The sequence below is a fragment of the Homo sapiens genome, chromosome 9 (genome assembly GCF_000001405.40).
Source record: "Homo sapiens chromosome 9, GRCh38.p14 Primary Assembly".
NCBI lineage: Eukaryota > Metazoa > Chordata > Mammalia > Primates > Hominidae > Homo > Homo sapiens.
Window position 1 is genome coordinate 66,797,845 of NC_000009.12, and position 15,544 is coordinate 66,813,388.

Consider the following 15,544-nt stretch of genomic DNA (forward strand, 5'->3'; position numbering starts at 1 on the left):
ACAGTATTTTAATTTATTCTGAATCATCATTGAATAGAATATTTTAATTTGTTCAAGTAAATATTTTACTGTGTTCATGATAGGGGCTTAGTATCTGCAAGTGATGGGCCTTGTTAATCTTCAGAATAAGTTTAAATGACAGCTCAGCAGGGCAGCATCTCCCATGCAGCAGCCCCTGTGGAGCAGCAGGAAGGAAGGCTCCGGAGGAAGCCGCAGGAAGCCGATGGCTCCTGTGAGAAACTGCCTGACTGATGCTGTCACGGTGTTGACTCTCTCCCTAAGAGCCCTGAGATCACACTCGCCCTTTTTACATCACCCAACAGGGCTGACTTAACATCCAGGGAGGACAAATAAAGGGGAAGAATAAAATAATCCAACAAAGCCAGGACAGAATGCACTCATGTCATTAATGGAGCTACATTCTTACTTTGAATGAATTACCTACATTATGTTACCTTCCTAAAGACTTACTGAAAAAAAGGTGTTCAAGGAACTAAGGGAAACCCAGGGTGGCACTTGAGGTTGCGGGTCACAGACCACACTCTGCGTAGCCCTGAGGCTGGGTGCAGGGCCAGGCTGCCTGTGTGCAGATCTCCTGGCCGTGTGTTAGAGGTTGAACCATGCATCTCTCAGAATTCAAATGTTGAATTTTTATTTTATTTTTATTTATTTAGTTTTTTTGAGACAGAGTCTCACTCTGTCACCCAGACTGGAGTGCAGTGGCCCTATCTCAGCTCACTGCAACTTCCAACTGCTGGGTTGAAGTGATTCTCCTGCCTCAGCCTCCTGAGTAGCTGGGATTACAGGCGCCTGACACCATGCCCAGCTAATTTTTGTACCTTTAGTAGAGATGGGTTTTTGCCATGTTTGTCAGGCTTGTCTCAAACTCCTGACCTCAGGTGATCCGCCTGCCTCAGCCTCCCAAAGTGCTAGGATTACAGGTGTGAGCCACCATGCCCAGCCCATATGTTGAATTTTTAAACACTGAGTACTGCAGAACCCAGGAATTATTTGGATTTAGGGTCTTTACATGGGAGTTAAAATGAGGTTGTTGCGAAGGGACCCTAATCCAATTTGACTAATATCCTTGTAAAAAGGGAAATTTGGAGACAGACACACGTAGAGGGAAGATGATGTGAAGAGATCAAAGAAGAAGACAGGTGTCTACAAAACCAGGAAAGAGGCCTGGAATAGATGCTTCGTTCATAGCCTTCAGAAGGAGCCAACCCTGCTGGCACCTTAGTGTTAGACTTCTATCCTCCAGAACTATCAGACAAAAAATGCCCATTGTTTAAGTCACCCAGTGTGTGGCTCTTTGTTATGATGTCTCTAGCAAACTAATATACCTTGTGACTTTGGCAGTTCTGTCTTCCTGCCTCTGTAAAATGCAAATATTACTGATATATTGCCTCCTAGGGCTTCTGTGAAGAGGCGATGAGTTAATACATGCAAAGTGCTACAATAGTGCAGACATAATATTAATACTCAGTAAATGTTAAGATGATTATTAACATCAACATCATCATCACCACTGTATAAAAAAAAGAAAATTGGGGCTGATATCTGATCTCTACAACTTTACCGTGCAGCATCCCTGTCCATTGCTTTTTCTAAATTCTATTATTAACCTTGAGTGTCTTGTAATTGATCATGTTTCAACCTTTCTTTGACAGCAAGTACTCTCAGAAATAAAAGTATTACTCGGACCAAGCAATTGAACAACATATTCATGCATTTATGTTCATGTAGAAATACCAATTATACACGTTTTATTTTATTTTATTCATGACTCTATTTTGTATCTTATACTTATTTCCCCATTGAAATGAGGTGAATTAAAAATAAAAACTTTATAAATTAATTAGCTGCAAAAATACTTATTTTTGTTTGTTTTTCCAAATGGTTGCAACTTACATAGTGTAAAATACAATTCATGAAAGTGGAAAGATGCAGAAATCAGAATGGAAATGAGAACCAGCAACCTGAGAGTCCCACAGAAATATTCAGTCACATCTGTGTAACCAGGGGCTGTACAGTCTTAGGTGGAGGTATTCCAGATTTTTGTTTCTTAGTTTCTGTCAGATGTAAAATGTGTATGTGGAACTATTGTGCACTTTCTTTGTTTGGTAGAGACAGTCTCTCTGTGTTGCCCAGGCTAGTCTCAAATTCCTGGCCTCAAGTGATCCTCCCACCTCAGCCTCTCAAAGTGTTGGTACTACAGGTGTGAGCCACCATCCCCAGCCTACTGTGCATTTTCTATTATTTGAAGCAAAATTGGGGCCACAAAGAAGGTCATCTGTAGTATGCCAATAACATAAACCTCTGACATTTCAGTAAAATATTGCCTTTGCCTCTGCATAGTATGCCAGCATGTTCTGCAGGGTGGGCAGCCGCAAGCAGTGGTTAGAACAGGGGCTCTAGAACCAGGGCCTGAACCTGAGGCTGTGCTCTGCTCTCCTTAATAGTGAAATCAGAGGCAAGTTGCTTGACCTTTCTGCTTTGTGTTTCTGCTTTTGCCAGATGCACAATATCTGGTTTGTGGAGTTTTTTGAGGACCAAGGGAGATAGTGATTCCTATCAAATGTTTACCAGAGCCTCTGATAATCTGGGTTTTCTTCCTCCACTTCCTTCCCCTCCTTCCTTCTTCAAGATGATTCTATTTAATGGCATGTTGGAAATCATGTCAGCAGTCATGACATGCCAAGGTAAAATGAAACTTTTTTCCTTAAAAGTAGGAGAATGAGGTAAGAGATGATTTTAGAAGTTAAAGCCTACCCAAACATAAAAGGATATGATTTGTGTCACTGTCATCTAAAGTGTCTACTGCTACATTTTCCATGGGGCTGAAGTTTTGATTAAAAAGAATAATGTCGTATCCCAGGTGTATCCCTAAATTGGTAACTACTTCCGAAAGTCTTTTTTAAGCTTGTACTTAAATGACTTTTTTTTAAGGATAATAGTTTTGTATTATAAAAGATAAATGCACAAAGCAGCTACATGTAAAATGCCACTTTAGGACACGCTGTTCTAACACAAATACTGTCAACATATCATTTGTGAGTGAACTGACAAGATGTCCAAGGAATGAGTTACAGTGGAGAAAATTCAACGTGCATCACAGAATAGTTACCAGCTCCTGGCCCTCCACAGATGTGGACCTAAAACCACCTGGAGGGCAGAGTCGGCTCCCTCCCGCTGTGAGTGCTTCCTAGTGAGCCAGCAGCTGAAGGCCTCCCTAGCTTCACTTCTCCAGAGCGGGCATGGAGATAACTAGTGAAAGTGGTCACAAAGTCGGGGCCAAGAAGTCTCTAACCCCTAAATCAAGATTGAGAGATACTGGACCGGGCACAGTGTCTCACACCTGTAATCCCAGCACTTTGGGAGGCCTAGGCAGGCGGATCACCTGAGGTCAGGAATTCAAGACCACGCCTGGCCAACATGGTGAAACCCAGTCTCTACTAGAAAATACAAACAAATTTAGCTGGGTGTGGTGGCAGGCTCCTGTAATCCCAGCTACTCTAGAGGCTGAAGCAGGAAGAATTGCTTGAGCCCCGGAGGTGGAGGTTGCAGTGAACCCGGATCGTGCCACTGCACCCCAGACTGGGCAACAGAGCGAGACTCAGTCTCAAAAAAAAAAAAAAAGAAAAAGAAAAAGAAAAAAAGATTGAGAGATACTGGAGAAATTCTTCCTTTATGCATCCCTCATCCTTGCATCAATTTTTTCCTACAAATCAATGGAGTGTACACATATGGGGCATTATTTCACGTTAAAGGAACTAAGTCCATATACATGATTTGTTTTTTGAGAGGTGAGGTCTCACTTTGTTGCCAAGGCTGGAGTGTAGTGGTGTGATCAGACCTCACTGCGGCCTACACCTCCCAGGTTCAGATGATCCTCCCACCTCAGCCACCCTAGTAATTGGGACCACAGGCGTGCCACTGTGCCTGGCAAATTTTTACATTTTTTTGTAGAAATGTTGTCCAGGTTGGTTTTGAACTCCTGGGCTCAAGTGATCCTCTCCCCTTGAGCTCCCGATGTGCAAGGATTACAGCTGTGAGCCACTGGGCTTGGCCAAGTAGAAATTATATCCTGCTACTAGTTGACCAAACATGATTCATAAACTATAACTAGTATGGCCGCCATTAATCTAAAAATTAATTTTTAGATTAATGTTTATTGACAGTATCTACTCTATAAAGTAAAAAAATAAAATATGCTTTTATGATGTGGACCATAGTATCCATAAGATTGCTTTTCTGTTTGAATTGGCTATAAAAATGGAAAAAGTATCATTTTGTAACTGTGTGGCATTTGTTCATTTATTCAACAATAATACCAGAGTGGAAAGCAACAAGTTAGGTGTGACATAATATAGAAATGGTTTTGTTTTGTTTGTTTGTTCTACATATATTATTAGTAAGGTTTCTCTAGAGTACTGTCTCTCTCTATCTCTCTTTCTATCTCTGTCTACACATAGACACACACACACACACACACACACACAGATGTTCCTCAACTTACAATGGGGTTATGTCACAATAAACCCATCATAAGTTTGTTACAGGAAAGAGGTCCAGATCCAGACCCCAAGAGAGGGTTCTTGGATCTTGTGCAAGAAAGAATTCAGGGCGAGTTCACAGTGCAAAGTGAAAGTAAGTTTATTAAGAAAGTAAAGGAATAAAAGAATGGTTACTCCATAGAAAGAGCAGCCCCAAGGGCTGCTGATTGCGCCTTTTTTTTTTTTTTTTTTTTTGAGATGGAGTCTTGCTCTGTTGCCCAGCCTGAAGTGCAGTGGCACTATCTAGGCTCACTGCAACCTCCCCTTCCAGGGCTCAAGTGATTCTCCTGCCTCAGCCTCCTGAGCAGCTGGGATTACAGGCGTGCACCACCAGGCCTGGCTAATTTTTGTATTTTTAGTAGAGACAGGGTTTCACCATATTGGTCAGGCTGGTCTCAAACTCCCGACCTTGTGATCCACCCGCCTCGGCCTCCGAAAGTGCTGGGATTACAGGCGTGAGCCACCACACCCGGCCGGTTGCCCATTTTTATGGTTATTTCTTGAGATTTGCCAAACAAGGGGTGGATTATTCATCCCTCCCCTTTTAGACCATATAGGGCAACTTTCTGACGTTGCCATGGCATCTGTAAACTGTCATGGTGCTGGTGGGAGAGTAGCAGTGAGGACAACCAGAGTCACTCTCATCACCATTTTGGTTTGGGTGGGTTTTGGCTGGTTGCTTTACTGCAACCTGTTTTATCAGCAAGGTCTTTATGATCTGTATTTTGTGCTGACCTCCTATCTCATTCTATGACTTAGAATGCCTTAACCATCTGGGAATGCAGCCCAGGAGATTTCAGCCTCATTTTACCCAGCTCCTATTTAAGATGGAGTTGCTCTGGTTCACTTGTCTCTGACAAGTTGAAAATGCATTTAATACACCTAACCTACTGGACCTCATAGCTTAGCTTAGCCTACCTTAAATGTGCTCAGAACACTTACATTAGCATACATTTAGCCTACGGTTGGGCCAAATCATCTAACACAAAGCCTATTTTATAATGAAGTGTTGAATATTTAATGTAACTTATTAAATACTATGTTGAAAGTAAAAAACAAAATGCAATCTTTATTATTTTAGCTAAAGTAATTGTCAATTTATTAAATAAAAACAAAACAGCCCACACCATCATTAGCTGAAAAATCGTTTTGAACCATTGTAAGTTGGGGACTGTCTAAAGAATTGTGAATTGGCTCAAGTAATGACAGAAGCTGATTAGTATGGAAATTTGAAGTCAGCAAGTTGGAGACCCAGCAGAGGTAAGGTATAGTCCAAAAGCTTGCAGCCTTGAGGCTCAAGAAGAGCCAATGTTTTCATTCATTTAAGAAGGTAGGAAAAGACCAATGTCCCAGTTCACACAGTCAGGCAAAAGGAGCTCCCCAGTACTCATGGGAGGGTCAGCTGTTTCGTTCTATTCAGGCCTCCCACCAAGAGGATGAGGTCCATCCATACTGGGGAGTGCAGTGGGCTTCACTCAGCTAGAGATTCAAATGTTAATCTCATTCAGAAAACACCCTCACAGACACACAGAATAATGTTTGACCAAATATCTGAGTCACCCTGTGGCCCAGTCAAACTGATAGTTTTTCCTTAGGTTATCTCCAGTGTCATTTAAATATTAATATTTATAGTATATTATTGATGTAAATATTAACATTTATTACCCAGGGGTTGTGTTCTCTTGATAATGTTCTATTTTTTTAATCTCTGTGAAAAAATGTTTTATGAAGTGTGGAATTTATCTACTACACTGACATATTCTGCATTAATCTTTCTCTATTTTGTGGTTGTCAATCACTGGTACAGTTTCAGAGAGCAGGAAATAAAGATTCAGCCTTTAACTCCTACACAATCCACAGTGTTTTTTTCCCCTCAGAACTGTCATAAAACTGTTGTATTTTATTTAGATTTTTAAATTAACAACTAAAGCCATATTCTAGTAATACTTTAATAATCTAGATTTCCTATTTTTAGAGTAGAAGGCTGCATCATATTTAAAATCACTGCAGAGACTTTGAGGTTTTCAAATTAATATCATATTAAAATTTTTTGCACTCTGAAGGCTTTCATTTATTGCTTTAAAAAAATGTTGAAACTCAGAGTTCAAATGATTTTAAAAACTCTACATCTAGATACAGTTAATGTAAACTTTGTATATCTCTGTAATGACTTTCACTGCCCCTCATTATCAATCAAGAGCATTGAGATAAGGACTGGAAAATATTAAATATATATGTTAATATTTATATAAACATATTAAATGTGTGTGTGTGTCACACATACACACACAGAACAAGAGAAAGAGCAAGAGAGGGACAGTAACTGTCTTCAGAATATCAAAAGTTCTGCTAATCGGCTCTTTTGCAGAAGCTTGTCCTCACTCTCCGCATAGGGGAAAGAGAATGAGCTTTAAGACAGAACTTCCTGCTGAATTAATTAAATATATCCATTACTACTGACAGAAACAGTGAGGTTAAGCCCCTCTGAAGATGACAAGATAAATTGTCACTATTATGGCACTAGAAATGAGATACTGGGATACGATTTCATTACCGTATTATCATAGGTTTACTTAATTGGCAAAGTTTCACTTAAGAAGGATGCAGAAATTCTGAACACAAGTTAGCATTTCTAGCACGATGGTACAAGATGTGTTATTGAATAAGTCAAAGATGCCATAAACGCAAATTTCAAGGAATGGCGTAAGGCCGGGGTGGTGGCTCACACCTGTAACCCTAGCACTTTGGGAAGCTGAGGCAGGTGGATCACCTAAGGTCAGAAGTTCGAGACCAGCCTGACTAACGTGGTGAAACCCCGTCTCTACTAAAAATACAAAATTAGCTGGGCCTGGTGGTGGGTGCCTGTAGTCCCAGCTACAAGGGAGGCTGAGGCAGGAGAATCACTTGAACCCGGGAGGCAGAGGTTACAGTGAGCCAAGATCGCACCACTGCACTCCAGCCTGAGCAACAAGAGTGAGACTCTGTCTAAATAAATAAATAAGTATAAAAGGATGGCAGGAATGCAAAACTCGGTGCACAGTGCGCTGCAGTGCTGCCTGCTGTCTGATGGAAACATCACAAAGACACAAGCACAGACTAAGAAAAAAAGTTTTAAAAGTCAAAGGGATAGGTAAGTAAAAAATTGAATGCAATATGTAGGAAATGCTGCTTTCTTATTTTTATTTTTATTATTTATTTATTTATTTATTTATTTTTGAGACAGAGTCTCTCTCTGTCGCCCAGGCCGGAGTGCAGTGGTGCGATCTTGGCTCACTGCAAGCTCTGCCTCCCGGGTTCACACCATTCTCCTCCCTCAGCCTCCCAGAAATGCTGCTTTTTAAAAGTGGCCACTCTTATGCTAATAAAGTCATCCATGAGACAAGAACGTGCTTAAAATATAATAGCGCATACTGAAAGCAATACTGCTTTGTCCAAGTCAGTCCCATTAGTCCTGGCATGATTTCTGTAGCACTCCTTTCAAATAAAGAATGTCCCAATTTGAATGAAGAAAACTATATAATCATCCTAATCATGATAGCAAGATTAAGTCATCATTTGTAGTAAAATCTTACAACAGATTGTGACTGGCTGTGTAGTGACAAAATAATTGGAAAGTGGCAAATAAAACTGGTCATAGAGGGTCTTAGACTATATTTGTTGCCTTGAAGACATGATGGGAGAATTAAACTTAATAAATGACCTCGTCCTAGATGAAATATCCTTCTTAGACCAAATATTTCTGCAAGGTATGGATTGAATCTTCATACCAAGTCCAACGAATTTTTGTCCTGCTGGAAACTAATTGAGAAGGAAATTAACAGGAATTAAGGTGAGATGAACAAGGTGAGTTGCAAAAGTGCAGGCTCAGATCCTGCTAAATTTTAATATTTGCTCATGGTGACTTTTTTGCATTAATTTTAATATTTTTAAATAATGTATTAAAACATTATTTATTTTGATTGCTAAGTTTTGTGCTTACCCATTTAATTGTGTTCCTAAGGGGAGTACCTCACTTACCTCACCTTGTAACAGATTCTATACAAGGTATACCTGGGATTAGATATAAAGAACAATGAAGTCAGAACTGTGATATGGGGGTTTCCACTCCAGCTACCTGAAACTGAGGTTGCCCTATCTTAGTGAGTTCAAAGCTGGAGATTCTGTAAATAGACACGGGGACTGTGAGGTCCCTGCACAAACAGGTCATATCTGTAAATTAAACTTTGTGATTATAATAATTTTTTTTTTGAGATAGAGTCTTGCTCTGTCACCCAGGCTGGAGTGCAGTGGTGCAATCTCAGCTCACAGCAACCTCCACCTGCTGGGTTCAAGCAATTCTCCTGCCTCAGCCTCCAGAGTAGCTGCGATTACAGGTGCACACCACCACACCCGGCTAATTTTTTAATTTTTACTAGAGATGGGGTTTTGCCATGTTGGCCAAGCTGGTCTTGAACTCCTGACCTCAGGTGATCTGCCCGCCTTGGCTTTGAGAACAAGAACCCCATGTCTGCTGGTGTGTTAGTCGATTTTGTGTTGCTATAAAGAAATATGTGAGGCTGGATAATTTATAAGGAAAAGAGGTTTATTTGGTTCACAGTTCTGCAGGCTGTACAAAAAGTGTAATGACAGTATCAGCTTTTGCTGAGGCCACAGGAAGCTTACAATCATTGCAGAAGGCAAAGTGGGAGCTGGTGTATGACATGGTAAGAGAGGGAACAAGAGAGATGCCAGACTCATTTATTTATTTATTTATTTATTTATTTATTTATTTATTTGAGACAGAGTCTCACTCTGTAGCCCCAGCTGGAGTGCAGTGGTGCGATCTTGGCTCACTGCAACCTCTGCCTCCAAGGCTCAAGCAATTCTTGTGCCTCAGCCTCCCGTGTAGCTGGGACTACAGGTGCACTCCACCAGGCCTGGCTACTTTTTTGTATTTTAGTAGAGGTGAGCTTTCACCATGTTGCCCAGGGTGGTCTCGAACTCCTAAGATCAATCAATCCGCCGGCCTCAGCCTCTCAAAGTGCTGGGATTACAGCCGTGAGCCACTGTACCCGGCCTAGACTCCTTTAAACAACCAGCTTTTGCATGAACTAATGCAGGGAGGACTTATTCGTTACTATGAGGAAGGCATCAAACCATTCATGAGGTCTCCACCCCCATGACCCAAACACCTCCCACCAGGGCCTACCTCCAACATGGGAATCACATCTTAACATGAGATTTGGAAAGAACAAACATCCAAACTATATATATATATATATATATATATATATTTTTTTTTTTTTTTTTTTTTTTTGAGATGGAGTCTTGCACTCTCGCCCAGGCTGGAGGGCAGTGGCACGATCTCGGCTCACTGCAACCTCGCCTCCCGGGTTTACGCCATTCTCCTGCCTCAGCCTCCCGAGTAGCTGGGACTACAGGCGCCAGCCACCATGCCCGGCTAATTTTTGTATTTTTAGTAGAGATGGGGTTTCACCATGTTAGCCAGGATGGTCTCGATCTTCTGACCTTGTGATCAGCCCGCCTCGGCCTCCCAAAGTGCTGGGAATTACAGGCGTGAGCCACCGCGCCTGGCCATCTAAACTATATCAGCTGGTGGTTTGCCCTAAGCTTTTCTCCCCTAAGTTTCTTTTTTCAGAAATAAAGTTTGTCTTTATCTGACGTCAGCAGATTGGTGTTTGTTTTGCCTGCTGTATTCCTTTAGTTTCTAAAATAGTCCAAATTCCTCACCCTTCCCTGAAAATGTTGCTCTTACGTTGACATAATGTCTAGTTTCATTCAGCAGTTAATATTATAATATAGTACTCAGATTAGAGTTTGCAGCTGTTGTCGTTAAATTTAGGTCATTCTAAATTTACAAGTTAGTTGGGAAGAAAACAACCGCAAATTCTCAACCCTCATCACCATTTCTGCCTCTCAGTGCTCATATAAAGTCACTACAGAAAAAGAAGGAAAGCAGCAATTAAACAAGCTCATCTGTAACACGATTAATTTTTAACTCTTTAATTCACTTGTTTCTCATAGGAAACTACATTAACATGACAGGTTGTTGTTTTTTTTGTTTTTTTTTTTTTTGAGACGGAGTCTCTCTCTTCTCCCAGGCTGGAGTGCAGTGGCGCCATCTCGGCTCACTGCAAGCTCCGCCTCCCAGGTTCACGCCATTCTCTTGCCTCAGCCTCCTGAATAGCTGTAATTACAGGCTCCTGCCACCACGCCTGGCTAATTTTTTGTATTTTTAGTAGAGACGGGGTTTCACCATGTTAGCCAGGATGGTCTTGATCTCCTGACCTCGTGATCCGCCCGCCTTGGCCTCCCAAAGTGCTGGGATTACAGGCGTGAGCCACCGCATCCAGCCATGACAGTAATTTTTGAAAATGCATTGGCACAGCAATTCAAGAAGAGGAAATTGGACCCATGTTCTCTAAAGGACTTCCCAGCAATAATGTGCTGGGCTGTTCAGAATTATCACTGAGAAAAGGCTATGCCCATGTGCACAACTGACCTGACCTCATGTGCACATCAGTTCACCTCAACCACCATCCCGTCTGCTAAAATAAGTCACATTGGTTGCCTCCCAAAGTTCTCTATTCAAACCAGTAAACTCAGTTAAATAGGTTGTGAATAGGAAAATCCAAAAGTCACTGGGAAAAGATGTTATAAACTAAAATATTCATAGAAACATTTTTTTATGAAAGCCAAAAAAGGAAAAATAAACAACTAAGATGCCTAAAAACCAAAAAATGGATGAATAAAATGTGGCAGATGCATTCAGTGGAATATCATATAGCAGTGAAAATTAAGGACATTAATTACATGTATCAGCATGCCTGAATCTCAAAAACTCAAGTTGAACAATAATAGCTTTTAAAAAATCACAGAGTTAATATGTATGTTCCAAGTCTATGAAGTCTTCAAAAAGAGGAAAAACAGGCCAGGCACAGTGGCTCATGCCTGTAATCCCAGCACTTTGGGAGGCCGAGATGGGCGGATCACGAGGTCAGGAGATCAAGACCATCCTGGCTAACACGGTGAAACCCTGTTTCTACTAAAAAACCAAAAAAATTAGCCAGACGTGGTGGCGGGCGCCTGTAGTCCCAGCTACTCGGGAGGCTGAGGCAGGAGAATGGCATGAACTCGGGAGGTGGAGCTTGCAGTGAGCTGAGATTGCGCCACTGCACTCCCGCCTAGGCGACAAAGCAAGACTCCATCTCAAAAAAAAAAAAAAGGGAAAAACAAAAGAGTATATTCAAAGAATCACAAACAAAAAGTAAAGGAATGATAAACAAAATTTAGGATAGCGTTTACCTTGGGGACTAATAAATATGGGTAATGTTTAATTTATTAAGCTAGGAGATGGGCACATATATTTTCATTCATAGAACTTTTTTTCCTAAATGTATGTGTATGATATATGTCACATGCATGACATATATGTGCATGACATGTGATATATATGTGAACTACATATAGTTCACAAAAACTAAATGTAGATATGGTATACAATCACACAAAAGCATTTAATGTATCAATGTGTCTATATATACATTTATGCCTAACTTATGACAATAAATATACTCTCAAATACCTGGTCGTCATTAAATCTAATATGTAGAATATTAAAATATGAAAGAGGATGCTGTATTTGTTATTAGTCATTTTTCTCCGGTCTATTTTCTTTTACATCATTTAATAAATTAGTAGAGAACTTTCCTCCCATTCCTTTTAGTGTTTTAAAATCTTTTAATTTAAAAATTATAGCTCTTAGATAATTGCCTTATATATTGTTTTTAAATTTTGTTTCCTATGGGTTGCTGTAAATCTATCCTAAGTGGCAAAGTTTTAAAAACAATATGGGTCAAAAGTGCACAAAGCTCTGAAAATGAGAAAAGAAAATGACCAAACCTTTAAGATTCCTAGCATTATTCTGCCTATCACCATAATGTTTGCTTGGAGGGAGGCAGGCTATGAACTGAACAACCTAATTTATGGCTGATGTGCTCTCTGGCCATTATGGGCAGAATGTGGGCTTCTTCACAGCAGTGGCTCTCAGCATTTCTCTTCATGTTCTATGGGCTACAGCAAGTCACATGACCAATCCCAACTCCATTGTGTCAGGGATGTATAATCCTCTTACTTGGAGGACAGCAAGTAATTGGGAACAGTAATACAATTTGGCACACAAAACAAATCTTCAGAGAGTGTCAGTGTCAAGAGAAGCATTTGTCCTAGAAAAAGTTACTCTAAACTTGCAAAAAGATAAAAATCATAATGCTTGATTAAAAAAATACTGAATTATTTTCTAATTATTTACTTGACCCTAACCTGACAACATTTATAGGAGTGATATCAAGTCAGACTATTTACAGACTGTGAGTCTAGAGGTCAGCAGCAAAATTTAGAAATTATCATGACTCTGTAGTCCAGTGGTTTACTGTCATAAAAGATATATTTTATAATGAAATAGACCACCAAGTAGAACAACAGACCACTGAAATAAACCATCAAATGACATCCTATAATTTAAAGGTATGATGAAAAATGGAAAGAGTTGTAAATGTTTCTTCTAGAGTTGTCATTTGGTGCTTCTGTTAGAAGGGCTATGGAGGAGGCCGGGCGCAGCGGCTGACGCCTGTAATCACAGCACTTTGGGAGGCTGAGGCTGGCGGATCACGAGGTCAGGAGATAGAAACCATCCTGGCTAACACGGTGAAACCCTGCCACTACTAAAAATACAAAAAAATCAGCCGGGTGTGGTGGCAGGCGCCTGTAGTCCCAGCCACTCGGGAGGCTGAGGCAGGAGAACGGCGTGAACCCGGGAGGTGGAGCTTGCAGTGAGCCAAGATCGCGCCACTGCACACTAGCCTGGGCGACAGAGCGAGACTCCATCTCAAAAAAAAAAAGAAAAAAAAAAAGTTTGACACAGTTTGATCTATTTCTAACACCTGGTGGCATTTTTACAGCATAACCTTTAAAAAGTCATTCTAGAATATCCTAATAGATGTATACATCCCTCTACCTAAATTTTTGTAGATGTTATTTGCCTACATAGTGAATGACATTGTATTTCAGCGGAATTTATTATTCAACTTTTAAAAACAAATCTCCTGCATTTACATCCATTTTCCATATATCTATGTCGTAAAGATAATGAATTTAATTGGACAATTTTCTTTCAAATGTGTGCAGGCTCCTTCCACTTCCAGGTCTGAAAGAGGACAGTATATTTTATAGACCACACGATTGCCAGAGTGGAAACTGGAGTGAGTGGAAGATTCCACATAGTTTTACTTGTGATACTCTAGAGACTAGTGGTGAGGTGTCTTGGAGATGGCATAATAATACAAATAACTAAATATTACTGAGTTGTTACTGTATATGGCACTATGTTAAAGGTTTCATAGGCATCACTCCTCATCACAACAATAATAGCCCACCTCGGCCTCCCAAAGTGTCTGTCCCTTCTTTATTCACCAGCCACAATGACACACAGAACATAGTAGGAAGAAAATAGTTTATATTTATTCCTAAGAATATAAACTTCTGTTACCATTCTAAATTTCCAGAAAAACTTATTGTGAGTGCTAAACTAATATCATCCTGACCTAAGACAAATTGTCAGTTCCTAAGGGTGAGATTTATAGGAGAAAACCATGTCTACGCTTGAGGCAGAGTTCTTAGTAGAGATACAATAGCCAGTTGCTATTATTTCAAAGTTTGTCTGTCCCTAAATATTGCCTGCTTAGGTTTGACTATGCTAGGATTAGTGATCATCTGCTCTGAATTAAAGGTTTAGATGCGCTCTTCCCAGGATAAAATTAAGTTTGGGGACTTTCTCTTTTCCTGGGAGCAAAAACCTCAGGAACTAAGTGCCATATGCTGGAAGATGGAAACATTCCAACAGCCAGAAGTAGAGGGAAGATAAAAATGGCTTCCCTAAAGCAAGGCAAATCAGCGACAGCCACTCCTGTGGCCACCACTAATCACTTGTAAATGAATGCTGCGATGTGTTTCAAAAGCCCTCATTCTGACTCTGCCTGATCTGCTACTGAAATGTTAATTATATGCCTAATCTTCTCTTGCAAGCAAAGGCAGCAGAGTTGCTAAAGATCATAGCAGGTAAAAGCCTTCAAGGAGAGGTAAGGAGTAAATGGAGCTGGGAGAGAATGCTGTCTCTCAGGACAGAGCCTGGCTCATTGAAAGGGCATAGTCCTACCCTATAAGGGATGCCTCCCAGTGTGACCAGGTCTTCTATGATTTCTTTTTATGAGAAACCAGAAATCTGATTATGTTCATGAGAAATTGGAGTTTTACAAATTAGCAAAACTGTGCTGTGCTGAGAAAATAGAATAAACCTGAAGGCCAGAGGTGTGCTGGGAGAGTCACTTACAGAACCAGAGCAAATACTTAGATAGAGCAATGATGTGTTTTAATAAAAACAGGGACTACTGTGCTTTGTAAATGTCTTTATGCCTTCTAAACGTCCTTTCTCCTGAAGTCTATAACGTGACATGGGATAGCAAAGTATTTTTTGGCATGAACCATTGCATTGAATATCTTAACCCATTTGTGTTGCTATTAAAAAAACTCCTGAGACTAAAAAATGTATTTAAAAAAGAGGTTTATTTGGCTCATGATTCTGCAGCCCATACAGGAAGAATGGCAGCAGCATCTGCTCAGCTTCTGGTGAATTTCTCATGTTGCTTCCACACATGGCGGAAGGCAAAGGGAAGCCAGCATGTAGTGAGATCACATAGTGAGAAAAGAGGAAAGAGTGGGGAGGGGGTGCTAGGCTCTTTGTAACAACTAGCTTTCTTGGGAACTAACAGAGAGCTCATTCATCCCCTCTCCCCGGGGAGGGCAACAATCTTTTCATGAGGGATCTGCTCCCAAGACCCTAACACCTCCCATTAGGCCCCACCTCCAACACAGGGGTTCAAATTTCAACATGAGGTTTAGGAGACAAACATCCAGGCTATGTCATTGGA

General features: G+C 40.6%; 1 annotated feature.

The window, feature by feature from the left end:
- Positions 14,050–14,851: an enhancer, noted in NCBI's record as "OCT4-NANOG-H3K27ac hESC enhancer chr9:41202640-41203441 (GRCh37/hg19 assembly coordinates)". NCBI's record gives its function as "activates a minimal SCP1, AML or CMV promoter by ChIP-STARR-seq in naive H9 embryonic stem cells {active_cell/tissue: H9 hESC(naive)}" and the evidence as "EXISTENCE:reporter gene assay evidence [ECO:0000049][PMID:30033119]".